The 19,430-nt window shown below is 40.0% G+C and overlaps 1 protein-coding gene across 10 annotated transcripts in view; it reads left to right on the forward strand.

Moving 5' to 3' along the window:
- FAAH2 (fatty acid amide hydrolase 2) overlaps positions 1 to 19,430 on the forward strand; it is a 367,606-nt gene that overhangs the window by 345,553 nt on the left and 2,623 nt on the right. Inside the window, exon 11 of one of the 10 annotated variants that reach the window (NR_148557.2) lies at positions 14,366 to 14,571. The exons of the other annotated variants lie outside the window; for them this stretch is intronic. The gene's annotated coding sequence lies outside the window, so the exon portion shown is untranslated. The remainder of the gene's footprint in view (positions 1 to 14,365; positions 14,572 to 19,430) is intronic. 10 annotated transcript variants of the gene reach the window in all.

The raw sequence follows: 19,430 nt of genomic DNA on the forward strand, positions 1-19,430 counted from the left end.
ACAGCTCCAGTCCACAGCTCCCAGCATGAGCGACGCAGAAGATGGGTGACTTCTGCATTTCCAACTGAGGTACCAGATGCATCTCACTGGGGAGTGTTGGACAGTGGGTGCAGGACAGCGGGTGCAGTGCAATGAGAGTGAGCCAAAGCAGGGCAAGGCATCGCCTCTCCCAGGAAGTGCAAGGGGTCAGGGAATTCCCTTTCCTAGTCAAAGAAAGGGGTGACAGAAGGCACCTTGAAAATCGGGTCACTCCCACCATAATACTGCACTTTTCCAATGGTCTTAGCAAAGGGCACACCAGGAGATTATATCCTGCACCTGGCTCAGAGGGTCCTACACCCATGGAGCCACACTCATTGCTAGCATAGCAGTCTGAGATCAAACTGCAAGGTGACAGCGAGGCTGGAGGAGAGGTGCACAACATTGCTGAGGCTTGAGTAGGTAAACAAAGCAGCCAGGAATCTTGAACTGGGTGGAGCCCACCACAGCTCAAGGAGGCCTGCCTGACTCTGTAGACTCCACCTCTGGGGGCAGGGCATAGCCAAACAAAAGGCAGCAGAAACCTCTGCAGACTTAAATGTCCCTGTCTGACAGCTCTGAAGAGAGTAGTGGTTCTCCCAGCACAGTTTGAGATCTGAAAACGGACAGACTGCCTCCTCAAGTGGGTCCCTGACCTCCAAGTAGCCTAACTGAGAGACACCCCCCAGTAGGGGCAGACTGACACCTCACACAGCTGGGTACCCCTCTGAGATGAAGCTTCCAGAGGAATGATCAGGCAGCAACATTTGCTGTTCAGCAATATTCGTTGTTCCACAGCTTTCGTTGCTGATACCAAGGCAAACAGGGTCTGGAGTGGACCTCCAGCAAACTCAAACAATCCTGCAGCTGATGGTCTACGCTGTTAGAAGGAAAACTAACAAAAAGAAAGGACATCCACACCAAAAATCCATCTGTTGGTCACCATAATCAAGACAAAAACTAGATAAAACCACAAAGATGGTGAAAAAACAGGGCAGAAAATCTGAAAATTCTAAAAATCAGAGCACCTCTCCCCCTCCAAAGGAACGCAGCTCCTCAACAGCAATGGAACAAAGCTGGATGGAGAATGACTTTGACGAGTTGAGAGAAGAAGGCTTCAGATGATCAAACTTCTCTGAGCTAAAGGAGCAAGTTCGAACCCAATGCAAAGAAGTTAAAAACGTTGAAAAAAGATTAGATGAATGGCTAACTAGAATAACCAGTGTAGAGAAGTCCTTAAATGACCTGATGGAGCTGAAAACCATGGCATGAGAATGACGTGATGAATGCACAAGCTTCACTAGCTGATTTGATCAAACGGAAGAAAGGGTATCAGTGATTGAAGATCAAATGAATGAAATGAAGTGAGAACAGAAGTTTACAGAAAAAAATAGTAAAAAGAAATGAAGAAAGCATCCAAGAAATATGGGACTATGTGAAAAGACCAAATCTACGTCTGACTGGTGTACCTGAAACTGACGGGGAGAATGGAACCAAGTTGGAAAACACTCTACAGGATATTATCCAGGAGAACTTCCCCAATCTAGCAAGGTAGGCCAACATTCAGATCCAGGAAATACAGAGAATGCTGCAAAGATACTCCTCGAGATGAGCAACTCCAAGACACATAATTGTCAGATTCACCAATGTTGAAATGAAGGAAAAAATATTAAGGGCAGCCAGAGAGAAAGGTTGGGTTACCCACAAAAGAAAGCCCATCAGACTAACAGCGGATCTCTCAGCAGAAACTCTACAAACCAGAAGAGAGTGGGGGCCAATTTTCAACATTCTTAAAGAAAAGAATTTTCAACCCAGAATTTCATATCCAGCCAAACTAAGCTTCATAAGTGAAGGAGAAATTAAATCCTTTACAGACAAACAAATGCTGAGAGATTTTATCACTACTAGGCCTGACCTACAAGAGCTCCTGAAGGAAGCACTAAACATGGAAAGGAACAACTGGTAACAGCCACTGCAAAAACATGCCAAATTGTAAAGACCTTCAAAGCTAGGAAGAAACTGCATCAACTAACGAGCAAAATAACCAGCTAACATCATAATGAAAGGATCAAATTCACACATACCAATATTAACCTTAAATGTCAATGGGCTAAACGCTCCTATTAAAAGACACAGACTGACAAATTGGATAGAGAGTCAAGACCCATCAGTGTGCTGTATTCAGGAGACCCATCTCACATGCAGAGACACACATTGGCTCAAAATAAAGGGATGGAGGAAGATCTACCAAGCAAATGGAAAACAAAAAAAGGCAGGGGTTGCAATCCTGATCTCTGATGAAACACACTTTAAACCAACAAACATCAAAAGAGACAAAGAAGGCCATTACATAATAAAAAAGTGATCAATTCAATAAGAAGAGCTAACTATCCTAAATACATCTGCACCCAATACAGGAGCACCCAGATTCATAAAGCAAGTCCTGAGAGACCTACAAAGAGAATTACACTCCAACACAATAATAATGGGAGACTTTAACACCCCACTGTCAACATTAGACAGATCAGTGAGACAGAAAGTTAACAAGGATATCCAGTAATTGAACTCAGCTCTGCACCAAGCGGACCTAATAGACATCCACAGAAGTCTTCACCCCAAATCAACAGAATATACATTCTTCGCAGCACCACACCTCACCTATTCCAAAATTAACCACATAGTTGGAAGTAAAGCACTCCTCAGCAAATGTAAAAGAACAGAAATTATAACAAACTGTCTCTTAGATCACAGTGCAATCAAACTAGAACTCAGGATTAATAAACTCACTCAAAACCACTCAGCTACATGGAAACTGAAGAACCTCCTCCTGAATGACTACTGGGTACATAATGAAATGAAGGCAGAAATAAAGATGTTCTTCAAAACCAATGAGAACAAAGACACAAAACACCAGAATCTCTGGGACACATTTAAAGCAGTGTGTAGAGGGAAATTTATAGCACTAAATGCCCACAAGAGAAAGCAGGAAAGATCGAAATTTGACACCCTAATATCACAATTAAAAGAACTATAGGAGCAAGAGCGAACACATTCAAAAGCTAGCAGAAGGAGAGAAATAACTCAGATCAGAGAAAAACTGAAGGAGATAGAGACACAAAAAACCCTTCAAAATATCAACGAATCCAGGAGCTGGTTTTTTGAAAAGATCAACAAAATTGATAGACTACTAGCAAGACTAATAAAGAAGAAAAGAGAAGAATCAAATAGACACAATAAAAAATGATAAAGCGGATATCAACACCAATCCCACAGAAATACAAACTACCATCAGAGAATACTATAAGCACCTCTATGCAAATAAACTAGAAAATCTAGAAGAAATGGATAAATTTCTGGACACATACACCCCCTAAGACTAAACCAGGAAGAACATGAATCCCTGAATAGACCAAAAACAGGCTCTGAAATTGAGGCAATAATTAATAGCCTACCAACCAAAAGAAGTCCAGGAGCAGATGGACTCGCAGCCAAATTCTACCAGAGGTACAAGGAGGAGCTGGTACCATTACTTCTGAAACTATTCCAATCGATAGAAAAAGAGCGAATCCTCCCTAACTCATTTTATGAGGCCAGCATCATCCTAATACCAAAGCCTGGCAGAGACACAACCAAAAAAGAATTTTAGACCAATATCCCTGATGAACATTGATGCAAAAATCCTCAATAAAATACTGGCAAACCGAATCCAGCAGCACATAAAAAAGCTTATCCACCATGATCAAGTGGGCTTCATCCCTGGGATGCAAGGCTGCTTCAACACACGCAAATCAATAAACGTAATCCAGCATCTAAACAGAACCAAAGACAAAAAACACATGATTTTCTCAATAGATGCAGAAAAGGGCTTCAACAATATTCAACAGCCCTTCATGGTAAAAACTCTCAATAAATCAGATATTGATGGAATGTATCTCAAAATAATAAGAACTATTTATAACAAACTCACAGCCAATATCATACTGAATGAGAAAAAACTGGAAGCATTCCCTTTGGAAACTGGCACAAGACAGGGATGACCTCTCTCACCATTCCTATTCAACATAGTGTTGGAAGTTATGGCCAGGGCAATGAGGCAAGAGAAAGGAATAAAGGGTATTCAATTAGGAAAAGAGGAAGTCAAATTGTCCCTGTTTGCAGATGACAAGATTGTAAATCTAGAAATCCCCATTGTCTCAACCCAAAATCTCCTTAAGCTGATAAGCAACTTCAGCAAAGTCTCAGGATACAACATCAATGTGCAAAAATCACAATCATTCTTATACACCCATAACAGATAGAGAACCAAATCATGAGTGAGCTCCCATTCACAATTGCTTCAAAGAGAATAAAATACCTAGGAATCCAACTTACAAGGGATGTGAAGGACCTCTTCAAGGAGAACTACAAACCACTGCTCAACGAAATAAAAGAGGATGCACATAAATGGAAGAACATTCCATGCTTATGGATAGGAAGAATCAATATCGTGAAAATGGCCATACTGCCCAAGGTAATTTATAGATTCAATGCCATTCCCATCAACCTACAAATGACTTTCTTCACAGAATTGGAAAAAACTACTTTAAAGTTCATATGAAACCAAAAAAGAGCCCGCATTGCCAAGTCAACCCTAAGCCAAAAGAACAAAGCTGGAGGCATCACACTACCTGACTTCAAACTATACTACAAGGCTACAGTAACCAAAACAGCATGGTGCTGGTACCAAAACATAGATACAGACCAATGGAACAGAACAGAGCACTCAGAAATAATACCACACATCTACAACCATCTGATCTTTGACAAACCTGACAAAAACAAGAAATGAGGAAAGGATTCCCTATTTAACAGGTGGTGCTGGGAAAACTGGCTAGCCATATGTAGAAAGCTGAAACTGGATCCCTTCCTTACACCTTATACAAAAATTAATTCAAGTTGGATTAGAGACTTAAATGTTAGACCTAAAATGATAGAAAGCTTAGAAGAAAACCTAGGCAATACCATTCAAGACATAGGCATGGGCAAGGACTTCATGTCTAAAACACCAAAAGCAATGGCAACAAAAGCCACAATTGACAAATGGAATCTAATTATACTAAGGCGCTTCTGCACAGCCAAAGAAACTACCATCAGAGTGAACAGGCAACCTACAAAATGGGAGAAAATTTTTGCAATCTACTCATCTGACAAAGGGCTAATATGCAGAATCTACAAAGAGCTCAAACAAATTTACAAGAAAGAAACAACTCCATCAACAAGTGTCCTGTAGTTTTTTTGTTGTTCTTGTGTTCTTTCATGTTTTTAATATCGTGGAGATACTGGATTTGTACAATGATTTAGAGAGGTATTCCTACACTTTGATTTTTTGGAATAGCCTCAGTAGGATGACACCAGATCTTTTCTGTACATCTGGCAAAACCTGACTGTGAATCTGTCTGTTCCTGTTCTTTTGTTTGTTGGAAGATTTGTATTACTGATTAGATTAGTGATTAGATCTCTTTGTTGGAAGATTTGTATTACTGACTAGATTTTTTTTTTTACTTGTTTGTGGTCTGTTCAGGTTTTCTATTTCTTGCTAGTTCAATCTTGAGAAGTTGTATGTTTCCAGGAAACTATCAATTTTCTCTAGATTTTCTAGTTTGTGTGCATAGAATTGTCCATATTAGTCCCTGATTGTCTTTGGTATTTCTATGGCATAAGTTGTAATATCACCTTCATCATTTCTGATTGTGCTTATTTGAATCTTCTCTGCTTCTTTTTTGTTTTTTCATTAGTCCTGCTAGGGGTCTGTCAAGTTTTTTTCTAATGCTTTCAAAGAACTAAATTTTCTTTCATTAATCCTTTTTAGCTTTTTGTGGTCTCAATCCTATTTAGTTAATCCTGGCCATGTTATTTCTTTTCTTCTGCTAGCTTTGGATTTGGTTTGTTCATGTTTTTATATTTCCTTAAGGTGTGAATTAGTTTGTTAATTTTAGAGCTCTCTCTCCTTTTCATGTAGGCATTTAATGCTATAAACTTTCGTTTTAGCACTTTTTTGCTGTGTTTTAGATGTTTTGTTATATTGTGTCTGTTTTTATACACTTCAATTTTTTTTAAATTTCTGCCTTAATTTCATTGTTCACCCAAAAATTATTTAAGAATAAGTTGTTTAGTTTCCATGTATTAGCATAGTTTTGAGAGATTTTCTTGTTATTGCTTTCTAAATTTATTCCACTGTGGTCTGAGAAGAGACTTGATATTATTTTACCTTTTTGAATGCGTTGAGACTTGCTTTCTGGCCAAGCATATGTTCAATTTTGGAGAATGTTCCATGCACAAGTGAGCAGAATGTATATTCTGTGGTTGTTGTGTATGCTATAGTGTAAATGACTACTACGTCCATTTGATCTATAATCCAGTTAAATCTTGTTGATTTTCTGCCTTGATTATCTGTCTAGTGATATCAGTGGGGTGTTAAAGTCCCACTATTGATATGTTGCTATCAATCTATTTTCTTAGGTCTAGAAGTATATTTTTTATAAATCTGGATGTTCCAGTGTCTGTTGCATATATAATTTAAATAAATAAATCTTCTTTTATTGGAGCTTTTCTTAATATATAATGACCTTATTTATATTTTAGTACCATTGTTGATCTAAAGTCTGTTTTATCTGATATGAAAGTGGTTATTCCTGCTTGCTTTTGTTTTTCATTTGCATGGTGTATCTTTTTCCACCGTTTTACTTTGAGTCTCATTGTGCCTTTGGCCAGTAGGTGGGTCTCTTGTAGACTGCAGATGGTTGGGTCTTATTTTGTGACTCTGTATCCTTTAAGTGGAGTATTTATGCCATTTACATGCAAGATTAATATTGATATGTGAGGTTTTCTTCCTATTACAATAGTGTTAGTTATTTTGGAGTTTCCATTGTGTAATTGCTTTGTGTGATCTGTGAACTTTGTACTTATGTGTCTTTGTCTGACAGTGAGTATCTTCCATTTGTTTTCATGTTTACAATTCATTTAAGCATTTTTTGTATGTCCAATCTAGTGGTGATTTTTTTAAAATTTTACATTAACTTCTGGGATACACGTGTAGAATATGCATCTTTGTTACATAGGTATACATGTGCCATGGTGGTTTCCTGCACCTATCCGCCCATCATTTAGGCTTTAAGCCCTGCATTTATTAGGTATTTGTCCAAATGCTCTCCCTCCCCTTGTCCCCCGCCCCCAACAGGCCTCAGTGTGTGATTTTCCCCTCCCTGTGTCCATGTGTTCTCATTGTTCAACTCCCACTTATGAGTGAGAACATGTGGTATTTGGTTTTATGTTCCTGTGTTAGTTTGCTGAGAATTATGGCTGCCAGCTTCATCCATGTTCCTGAAAAAGACAAGAGCTTGTTCTTTTTTATGGCTGCATAGTATTCCATGATATATATGTGCCATGTTTTCTTTACCTAGTCTATCACTGATTGACATTTGGGTTAGTTCCAAGTCTTTGCTATTGTAAATAATGCTGCAATAAACATATGTGTGCATGTGTCTTTATAGTAGAATGATTTATAATCCTTCAGGTATATATGCAGTAATGGGATTTCTGGGTCAAATGGTATTTCTGGTTCTAGATCATTGAGGAATTGCCACATTGTCTTCCACAATCATTGAACTAATTTAAAAGTGTAAAAGCATTTCTATTCCTCCACAGGCACACCAGCATCTGTTGTTTCCTGGTTTGTTAATAATCGCCATTCTAACTGGCGTGAGATGGTATCTCATTGTGGTTTTGATTTGTGTTTTTCTAATGACCAGTGATAAGGAGCATTTTTTCATATATCTGCTGGCCGTATAAATGTCTTCTTTTGAGAAGTGTCTGTTCATATCCTTCACCCAATTTTTGATGGGATTTTTTGTATCTTTCTTGAAAATTTAAATTCCCTGTAGATTGTGGATATTAGACCTTTGTCAGATCGGTAGCATGCAAATCTTTTTTTCCATTTTGTAGGTTATCTGTTCACTCTGATGCTAATTTCTTTTGCTGAGAAGAAGCTATTTAATTTGATTAGATTGCATTTGTCAACTTCAGCTTTTGTTGCAATTGCTCTTGGTGTTTTATTCATGAAGTATTTGCCCATGCCTATGTCCAGAATGGTATTGCCTAGGGTTTCTTCTGGGTTTTTATGGTTTTGGGTTTTACATTTAAGCCTTTAATTCATACTAAGTTAATTTTTGTATAAAATGTAAGGAAGGGATTCAGTTTCTGTTTTCTGCATATGGCTAGCCAGTTTTTTCAGCATCATTTATTAAATAGTGCGTCTTTCCCCATTGCTTGTTTTTGTCAGGTTTATTGAAGATCAGATGGTTGTAGCTGTGTGGTGTTATTTCTGAGGTCTCTGTTCTGTTCCATTGATCTATATATCTGTTTTGATACCAGTGCCATGCTGTTTTGGTTACTGTACCCTTGTAGTATAGTTTTAAGTCAGGTAGCATGATTCCTCCAGCTTTGTTCTTTTTGCTTAGGATTGCCGTAGCTAAATGGGCTCTTTTCTGGTTCCATATGAAATTTAAAGTAGTTATTTTTAATTCTGTGAAGAAAGTCAATGATAGCTTGATGGGAATAGCATTGAATCTATGAATTACTTTGGGCAATATGGCCATTTTCAGGATATTGATTCTTCCTATCCATGAGCTTGAATTGTTTTTCCATTTGTTTATGTCCTTTCTTATTTCCTTGAGCAGTGTTTTGTAGTTCTCCTTGAAGAGGTCTTTCACGTCTAATGGAAGTTGTATTCCTAGGTATTTTATTCTCTTTGTAGCAATTGTGAATGGGAGTTCAATCATGATTTGGCTGTCTGCTTGTCTATTGTTTGTGTATAGGAATGCTTGGGATTTTTGTACATCGATTTTGTATCCTGAGACTTTGCTGAAGTTGCTTATCAGCAACTTAAGGAGTTTTTGAGCTGAGACAATTAAGTTTTCTAAATATACAATAACGTCATCTGCAAACAGAGACAATTTGACTTCCTCTTTTTCTACTTGAATACCCTTTATTTATTTTTCTTGCCTGATTTCCCTGGCCAGAACTTCCAATACTGTGTTGAATAGGAGTGGTGAGAGAGGGCATCCTTGTCTTCTGCTGGGTTTCAAAGGGAATGCTTCCAGCTTTTACCCATTCAGTATGATATCGGCTATAAGTTTGTCATAAATAGCTCTTATTATTTTGAGATGTGTTCCATCAATACCTAGTTTATTGAGAGCTTTTAGCATGAAAGGGTGTTGAATTTTATCAAAGGCCCTTTCTGCATCTATCATGTGGATTTTGTCACTGGTTCTGTTTATCTGATGGATTACGTTTTGATTTTCATATATTGAACCAGCCTTGCATCCCAGGGATGAAGCCGACTTGATCATGGTTTATAAGCTTTTTGATGTGCTGCTGAGTCCGTTTTGCCAGTATTTTATTGAGGATTTTCACATTGATGTACATCAGAGATGGTGGCCTGAAATTTTCCTTTTTTGTTGTGTCTCTTCCAGGTTTTGTTATCAGGAAGATGCTGGCCTCATAAGATGCATTAAGGAGGAGGCCTTCTTATTCTATTGTTTGGAATAGTTTCAGAAGGAATGGTACCAGCTCCTCTTTGTATATATGGTAGAATTTGACTGTGAATCTGTCTGGTCCTGGGCTTTTTAAATTGATGTTCTTGGACTTTTTTTTTTTTAATTACTGCCTCAATTTCAGAATTTGTTATTGGTCTATTCAGGGTTTCTAATTCTTCCTGGTTTAGTCTTCAGAGGGTGTATGTGTCCAGGAATTTATCCATTTCCTCTGTGTTTTCTAGTTTATTTGCATAGAGGTGTTTACAGTATTCTCTGATGGTAATTTGTATTTCTGTGGAATCAGTGGTGATATCGCCTTTATCATTTTTTATTATGTCTATTTGTTTGTTCTCTATTTTTTTCATTATTAGTCTATATAGTGATCTATTTATTTTGTTAATCTTTTCAAAAAACCTGTTCCTGGAGTCATTGATTTTTTTGAAGGGTTTTTCATGTCTCAATCTCTTTCAGTTCTGCTCTGATCTTAGTTATTTGTTTTTTAATTTTTAATAATATGTTATTTATGTTATAGTATTGGCTTAAAAGACACAATAATATAATTACACTGCTACATATTCATGAAAAATTATTTCATCAACAAAGCAGGATATTAAGCTGTAATGGGTACAGCTTTTAATAATCATATATTTACTTAGTAGAAAAAAATCTGGACTACTATAAACTAAAACATTTACTGTGGCTGTTTTTGTTTTGATTTATACTTTCTTTTGTTTATTGCTATGTTCTAAATTTTCTTTTTATATATATTATTATACTTTAAGTTCTAGGGTGCATGTGCACAATGTGCAGGTTTGTTACACATGTATACATTTGCCATGTTGGTGTGCTGCACCCATTAACTCGTCATTTGCATTAGGTATATCTCCTAATGCTATCCCTCCCCGCTCCCCCAACCCCACAACAGGCCCCGGTGTAAGATGTTTCCCTTCCTGTGCCCAAGTGTTCTCATTGTTCCATTCCCACCTATGAGTGAGAACATGCAGGGTTTGGTTTTCTGTCCTTCCAATAGTTTGTTGAGAATGATGGTTTCCAGCTTCATCCGTGTCCCTACAAAGGACATGAACTCATCCTTTTGATGGCTGCATAGTATTCCATGGTGTATGTGTGCCACATTTTCTTAATGCAGTCTATCATTGTTGGACATTTGGGTTGGTTCCAAGTCTTTGCTACTGTGAATAGTGCCACAATAAACATACATGTGCGTGTGTCTTTACAGCAGCATGATTTATAATCCTTTGGGTATATACCCAGTAATGGGATGGCTGAGTCAAATGCTATTTCTAGTTCTAGATCCATGAGGAATCACCACACTGTCTTCCACAATAGTAGAACTAGTTTATAGTCCCACCAACAGTGTGAAAGTGTTCCTATTTCCCCACATCCTCTCCAGCACCTGTTGTTTCCTGACTTTTTAATGATTGCCATTCGAACTGGTATGAGATGGTATCTCATTGTGGTTTTGATATGCATTTCTCTGATGGCCAGTAATGGTGAGCATTTTTTCATGTGTTTTTTGGCTTCATAAATGTCTTCTTTTGAGAAGTGTCTGTTCATGTCCTTTGCCCACTTTTTGATGGGGTTGTTTGTTTTTTTCTTGTAAATTTGTTTGAGTTCATTGTAGATTCTGGATATTAGCCCTTTGTCAGATGAGTAGGTTGTGAAAATTTTCTCCCATTTTGTAGGTTGCCTGTTCACTCTGATTGCAGTTTCTTTTGCTAAAGAAGCTCTTTAGTTTAATTAGATCCCATTTGTCAATTTTGGCTTTTGTTGTAATTGCTTTTGGTGTTTTAGACATGATGTCCTTGCACATGCCTATGTCCTGAATGGTAATGCCTAGGTTTTCTTCTAGGGTTTTTATGGTTTTAGGTGTAACGTTTAAGTCTTTAATCCATCTTGAATTAATTTTTGTATAAGGTGTAAGGAAGGGATCCAGTTTCAGTTTTCTACATATGGCTAGCCAGTTTTCCCAGCACCATTTATTAAATAGGGAATCCTTTCCATATTTCTTGCTTTTCTCAGGTTTGTCAAAGATCAGATAGTGGTAGATATGTGGCATTATTTCTGAGGACTCTGTTCTGTTCCATTGATGTATATCTCTGTTTTGGTACCAATACCATGCTGTTTTGGTTACTGTAGCCTTGTAGTATAGTTTGAAGTCAGGTAGCATGATGCCTCCAGCTTTGTTCTTTTGGCTTAGGATTGACTTGGCAATGTGGGCTCTTTTTTGGTTCCATATGAACTTTAAAGTAGTTTTTCCCAATTCTGTGAAGAAAGACATTGGTAGCTTGATGGGGATGGCAATGAATGTATAAATGACCTTGGGCAGTTTGGCCATTTTCACGATATTGATTCTTCCTACCAATGAGTATGGATTGTTCTTCCATTTTTTTGTATCCTCTTTTATTTCATTGAGCAGTGGTTTGTAGTTCTCCTTGAAGAGGTCCTTCACGTCCCTTGTAAGTTGGATTCTTAGGTATTTTATTCTCTTTGAAGCAATTGTGAATGGGAGTTCACTCATGATTTGGCTCTCTGTTTGTCTGTTATTGGTATATAAGAATGCTTGTGATTTTTGTACGTTGATTTTTGTATCTTGAGACTTTGCTGAAGTTGCTTATCAGCTTAAGGAGATTTTGGGCTGAGACAATGGGGTTTTCTAGATATACAATCATGTCATCTGCAAACAGGGACAATTTGACTTCCTCGTTTCCTAATTGAATGCCCTTTTTTTCCTTCCCCTGCCTAATTTCCCTGGCCAGAACTTCCAACACTATGTTGAGTAGGAGTGGTGAGAGAGGGCATCCCTGTCTTGTGCCAGTTTTCAAAGGGAATGCTTCCAGTTTTTGCCTATTTAGTATATTGGCTGTGGGTTTGTCATAGATAGCTCTTATTATTTTGAGATACGTCCCATCAATACCTAATTTATTGAGAGTTTTTAGCATGAAGAGGTGTTGAATTTTGTCAAAGGCCTTTTCTGCATCTATTGAGATAATCATGTGGTTTTTGTCTTGGTTCTGTTTATTTATTGATTTTCGTATACTGAACCAGCCTTGCATCCCAGGGATGAAACCCACTTGATCATGGTGGATAAGTTTTAATTGATAGACCACTAGCAAGACTAATAAAGAAGAAAAGAGAGAAGAATCAAATAGACGCAATAAAAAATGATAAAGGAGATATCACCACCAATCCCACAGGAATACAAACTACCATCAGAGAATACTACAAACACCGCTATGCAAATAAACTAGAAAATCTAGAAGAAATGGATAAATTCCTCGACACATACACCCTCCCAAGACTAAACCAGGAAGAAGTTGACTCTCTGAATAGACCAATAACAGGCTCTGAAATTGTGGCAATAATCAATAGCTTACCAACCAAAAAGAGTCCTGGACCAGATGGTTTCACAGCCGAATTCTACCAGAGGTACAGGGAGGAACTGGTACCATTCCTTCTGAAACTATTCCTATCAATAGAAAAAGAGAGAATCCTTCCTAACTCATTTTATGGGGCCAGCATCATCTTGATACCAAAGCCGGGCAAAGACACAACCAAAAAATAGAATTTTAGACCAATATCCTCGATGAACATTGATGCAAAAATCCTTAATAAAACACTGGCAAACCGAATCCAGCAGCACGTCGAAAACCTTCAGGTGCTCTTTTAAGGCTGGTTTGGTGGTGACAAAGTTTCTCAGTATTTGTTTGTCTTTGAAAGATTTTATTTCTCCTTCCCTTATGAAGCTTAGTTTGTTTGGATGTGAAATTTTGGTTTGGAAACGATTTTCTTTAAGAAAGTTGAATGTTTGCCCCCACTGTCTTTAGGCTTGTAGGGTTTCTGCAGATTAATCCATTATTGGTCTGTTCGGCTTCCCTTTGTAGGTAACCTGACCTTTCTTTTTGGCTGCTGTTAACATTTTTTCCTTCATTTCAATATTGGAGAATCTGGCGATTAGGTGTCTTGGGGTTGCTCTTCTTGAGGAGTATCTTAATGGTGTTTTCTGTATTTCCTGAATTTGAATGTTGGCCTGTCTTGCTAGGTTGGGGAATTTTCCTGGATAATATCCTGAAGTGTGCTGTCTAACTTGATTCCATTCTCCCCATCACCCTCAGGGACCCCAGTCGATCGTAGGTTTGTTATTTTCACATAGTCCCATATTTCTTGGAGGCTTTGTTTTTTTTTCCTTTTCACTCTTTTTTTTTTCTAATCTTGTAATCTTGCCTTATTTCAGTAAGGTGATTTTCAATCTCTGATATCCTTTCTTCCACTTGATCTATTTGGCTATTGTTACTTTTGTATGCTTCACGAAGTTCTCATGCTTTTTTTCAGCTCCATCATGTCATTTATATTCCTCTCTAAGTTGGTTATTTAAGTTAGCATTTCCTGTAACCTTTTATCAAGGTTTTTAGGTTCCTTGCCTTGGGTTAGAACATGCTCATTTAGCTCAGAGGAGTTTGTTATTACCTACATACTGAAGCCTACTTCTGTCAATTTGTCAATCTCATTCTCTATCCAGTTTTGTGCCCTTGCTGGAGAGGAGTTGCAATCTTTTGGAGAAGAGGCTTTCTGGTTTTTGGAATTTTCAGTGCTTTTGTGCTGTTTTTTTTCCTCATCTTCATGTATTTATTTACCTTTGATCTTTAAAGCTGATAACCTTGGATGGGGTTTTTGTGTGGGGTTCTTTATGTTGATGTCGATGTTGTTGCTTTCTGTTTATTAGTTTTTCTTCTAACAGTCAGGCCTCTCTTCTGCAGGTCTGCTGCGGTTGCTGGACGTCCAATCCAGACCCTGTTCTCCTGGGTATCACCAGTGGAGGCTGTAGAACAGCAAATATTGCTGCCTGCTCCTTCCTCTGGAAGCTTTGTCCCAGAGGGGCACCAACCTGATGCCAGCTGGAGCTGTCTTGTATGAAGTGTCCTTCGACCCCTGTTGGGAGGTCTCTCCCAGTCGGATGCACAAGGTCAGGGACCCAGCTGAGGTGGCATTCGGTCCCTTGGCAGAGCTGGTGCACTGTGCTGGGAGAATCCCTCTTGTCAGGATTAGTTGTTCTCTTCAGAGCCAGCAGGCCAGAATGATGAAATCCGCTGAAGCTGCTCCCACAGCTACCCCTTCCCCCAGATGCTCTGTCCCAGGGAGATGGTAGTTTTGTCTGTAAGCACCCGACTGGGGCTGTTACCTTTCCTTCAGGGATGCCCTACCCACTGAGGAAGAATCTAGGGATTCAGTCTGGCCACAGCCACTTTGCTGTGCCCAGCCCAGACCTCCCAGCCTCCTCAGTGCTTTCAGGGGAAAACTGCCTACCAAATCCTCAGTAATGGTGAATGCCCCTCCCCCCACCAAGCTCAATTGTCCCAGGTTAACCTCAGACTGTTGTGCTGGCTGCATGAATTTCAAGCCAGTGGTTCTTAGCTTGCTGGACTCCCTGGCAGTGGGACCTGCTGAGCAACAACACTAGGCTCCCTGGCTTCAGACCCCTTTCCAGGAGAGTGAACAGTTGTGTCTCACTCAGGTTCCAGGTGTCACTGGGGTTCCAGGTGCCACTGGGATATGACAAAAATATGCCTGCAGCTATCTCAGTGTCAAAACAGCCACCCAGTTTTGTGCTTGAAACTCAGGGCCCCGGTGGTGTAGGTACACAAGGGAATCTTCTGATCTGCAGATTGTGAAAACCATGGGAAAAGCATAGTAACCTAGCTGGGTAGCGCAGTCCTTCATAGCTTCCTTTGGCTGGGAGAGGGAGGTCCCCCAACTTCCTGTACTTCCTGGGTGAGGCAATGCCCCACCCTGCTTCTGCTCACCCTCCTGTGGGTTGGACCCACTGCCTAACCAGTCCCTACGAGATGAACTGGGTACCTCAGTTGAAAATTCAGAAATCATCCACCTTCTGCGTTGGTCTCAATGGGAGCTGCAGACCAGATCTGCTTGTATTCGGCCATCTTGGCTTCATTCCCTCAATTTTTTTTTTTTTTTTTTTTTGCTTGTCTGGGAAATATTTTATTTCTCCTTCATTTATGAAAGAGTTTGGCAGGATATAAAATTTTTGGCTGCAGGTTTTTATTTTTTAAAGGAGTTAAAATAGCCCCCAGTCTCTTCTGAGTTTTGGGATTTTTGCAGAGAAGTCCACTCTTAGCCTGATTGGTTTTGTTTTATAGGTGCTTTGATCCTTTTCTCTACCTATCTTTAATGTTTTCTTCTTTATTATTTACTTTAGATAGTCTGATCACTATATACCTTCATAATGTTTATTTTAAATAATATCTCACAGGTGTTCTCTGAGTTTCTTGTATGTGGATATCTTTCTAGCAAGATTAGCAAAATGTTCCTGAATTATTTCCTCACGTATGTTTTCAAGGTTGTTTATGTTTTTCTTCCTCTCTCTTAGAAATGCCAATATGTTATAGGTTTTGTTGCTTTACATAATCCCATATTTCACAAAGACTTTGTTCCATTTTTTAAAATTATTTTTTTCTTTATTTTTGTCTGACCAGTTTAGTTTGAGAGACTGATCTTCAATCTCTGAAATTCTTTCTTCTACTTGGTCTAGTCTATTATTAAAGTGTTCAACTTTATTTTGAAATTCCTTAAGTGAATTTTTCATTTCCAGAAGTCCTGTTTGATTTTTTAAAAAAATATATTTATCTCTTCCTTCATATCCTGAATTGCCCTCATATTTTCTTTTTGGTTGGTTTTCAGTCTTGTCTTGGATCTTGTGGAGCATCCTGACAATCCACAGTTTGAATTCTTTATCTGTCATTTCTGAGTTTCCATTTTGGTTAAGGTCCATTGCTAGAAAGCTAGTTTGACTCTTGTTGATATCACAACATTCAGCTTTTTCATGGTGCCAGATTTCTTATGCCGAGTTCTTCTCATCTGGAGGTATTGTCACTTACTTTTGAAATTTATTTTTGTTCAGATGGTATTTTTCTTTCCCTATTTTTTCTTCCTCCCTCCTGAGAATGTTACTGTGTAGTATTCTGGGTAGAGTCCTTGGCTCTGCTCCTATTTCCTGTGCACTGGGGGCAACTTTTTTTTTTTTTTTTTTTTTTTTTTTTTTTTGAGACGGAGTTTCGCTCTTATTTCCCAGGCCAGAATGCAATGGCGCACAATAAATCTCAGCTCACCACAAGCTCCACCTCCCGAGTTCAAGCGATTCTCCTGCCTCAGCCTCCCAAGTAGCTGGGATTACAGGCATGGGCATGTGCCACCACACCCAGCTAATTTTGTATTTTTAGTAGAGACGGGATTTCTCCATGTTGGTCAGGCTGGTCTCGAACTCCTGACCTCAAGTGATCCACCCGCCTCGGCCTCCCAAAGTGCTGGGATTACAGACATGAGCCACTGCGCCCAGCCACTGGCAACTTTTTTATTGCGCTTTTCACTTTGACCTGCTGGCCAGGGGGTAGCACTTAAGGGTAAGACACAGATGTGGCACAAGAAGATGGGTATTTCATCTCTGTTGTTTCAGGTAATGAGCTAGATCGTGGTGTTCCCTATGCCCTGAGCTTGCTTCTTAACTGTGGCTGGGGAGACACACCTGATCTGATTTGGACCCTTTGGCTTGCCCACAAATACTCCAATGATGACTACAGGCACTAGTCTTGATAGGGGTGGCTGGGGGAACTCCTGGTACAAACACTTAGGCCTCTGCTGGAAGTGAGGGGGATGCACTGCCTTCATGTCGTAAATAGGCAGGAACACAATCTGTTCCCTTTTCACGCCCTTGTTGTAGGGCTCATCATGTACACTTCAGATGCACGTTGTTGTCTCTCCAGGCCACAGTGTGTCTGAGAGCCAGGGAGAATGCCTCTCTTGCAACTCTCCATGGAGGTGTTTTTGAAGCAGAATATATTTACTCACTCAACCCAAATACAGACAGCTTTATGGCTCACATCTTCTTTGACATATTAGTGTTGCTGCTTCGTGGAAGTGAGAGGTCTGCCTTTCAGCCCATGTGGTGAGTGTCATTTGTGGTGGTGTAAGCTAGTTAGGTTAGTCTGACCTCAGGTGCCAGGAGGACTGGATAGGTACTAGCTGTGTTAGACTGGGCTAGGTAGCTCACCAGTCTCCAGGCCCCTAGATGGCCAATTGGATGACATTTACGAGTCCTGAAGGGGCTGGACCTGGGTTGAGCCAGCCCAGAGTTCAGTGCTGTCTGTGTAATGGGGAGAGTTGGGTTGGTCCCTGGGTCACTGGCTGAACTCTCAGGCAGGTCAGGCAGACCAGTCAGGTGGTGGGAACCTGAGGGTGGATAACTGGCCTGTGGTTATTGGGCTCTCCAAGAGGCTCTGGGCTGCAGCTGAAATATTCAGTTGGGGGCAAGCCAGCCATGATGTGGACCTTTCATTGGGTAGGGCAAGTCCCCAAAGTTGGAAAAATGGAAAGTGGGAGCTGTGAGGCACGTGTTACACCCACACTTTCCTCCTACAGATGCAGTGTTGGATTTTGTTGTGGGAGGCATGCACAGGTAGGTGCCAGGCCTCCCTACTCTCTCCCTGGCCCAGAGGTGTCAGGGGCAAAGTTAGTGGCAGTGGTGGCTGCAAAATGGTTGGCAGCAATCTGTGGGATTTGGGCTATCAAAGAAATGCCAAGCCATGGCCACAGTCTTCAAGCAGGGGCAGGGGAAGGTGCACTGGTGACCTGGAGCCTGCAAACCCCATTTGGTGTGAAGCAGTATAAGTGGGGAGTTGTGTGGCATGCAGCAAACCTGTTGCTTCTTTGTACTTCAGCTGTGGTATCTGTGCTGAAGGCTGCAGAAGTGCCTAGCTTTCCCATTTCCTCCCTAGCCCAGGGGAAGGAGGGATGGCATAACTTCTGTTACTTAAACATTGGTTATTTTGATAGCGTCCCATAATTCTCAGACCTTCTTCATTATTTTTTCTTATACTTTCTTTAACTACCTTACCTTTCCTTAAATAATTCTACTTATAACATTCCTTAACTACTTCTGAATTCATTATCAGTCATTTCATAGATCTCTATTTATTCAGGGTCCATAATTAGAGGTTTATTAGTTTATTTTGTGATTTTAAAAAATTATTTGTAATTTTTGTGTTCTTGTTTTGGTGCCTATGTGTTTGGGTACATGGCCACCTCTTTCAGCCTTTGTAGGTGTTCTTTGGCAATGATAATCTTTCAGTATTTATTCTAACCTGGGATTTTTGGTGGACCAACTGATAGCAACCCTGGACAGCTGACCTTGCTCTTGGGTTCTCTAGCTGGGGTGAGCTGCTGCCTATAGTTTGAGGTTGAGTGGAATGGTGAGCTGTGCTTTGTAGTCTGATGAGACAACTAGCTGGGTTTTAATTTGGCAGTGCTGATGGCTATCCTTTGCAATCACCTCTGATCAGATTGCATTGCATGCTGCCTTCCCCAGTAAAACAGTACTGCTGTTTGGAATCTGTAGTCAGTCAGGGCCATGTGCTGGTGCTCTTAGGCTCGAGGAGGTCTCTGGGGTTACTGTTCAGCCACCTGGGACAAGACACATTAGGTACTTCCTTTCACAGATATTCATGGATCAGCACTTGCCTTCTGGCCTGAGGAAGCCTTAAAGAGAATATTAAGTGTTAGTGGGATTGTCATACAGTCAGTGGGGTTGGGTGGGGCCAGATGCTCTACAGTTGCCTCCCAGCCTGGAAAAGGCTCAAGGAGAGAAATGACATTACATAAGGAAGCTGGCTAGGGACTTCAGCTAAGCAAACTCATGCACTATGGTTCCTGCAGGGCAGTCCTGTTGGCTGTTTTCTATCATTTGGCACCTTCATTGACAAAAGTGAAGAGCCACTGCCAAAATCCATGTGCTCATCATTGTGAACCCCACCC

This window comes from Homo sapiens, chromosome X (genome assembly GCF_000001405.40).
Source record: "Homo sapiens chromosome X, GRCh38.p14 Primary Assembly".
Classification (NCBI taxonomy): Eukaryota; Metazoa; Chordata; class Mammalia; order Primates; family Hominidae; genus Homo; species Homo sapiens.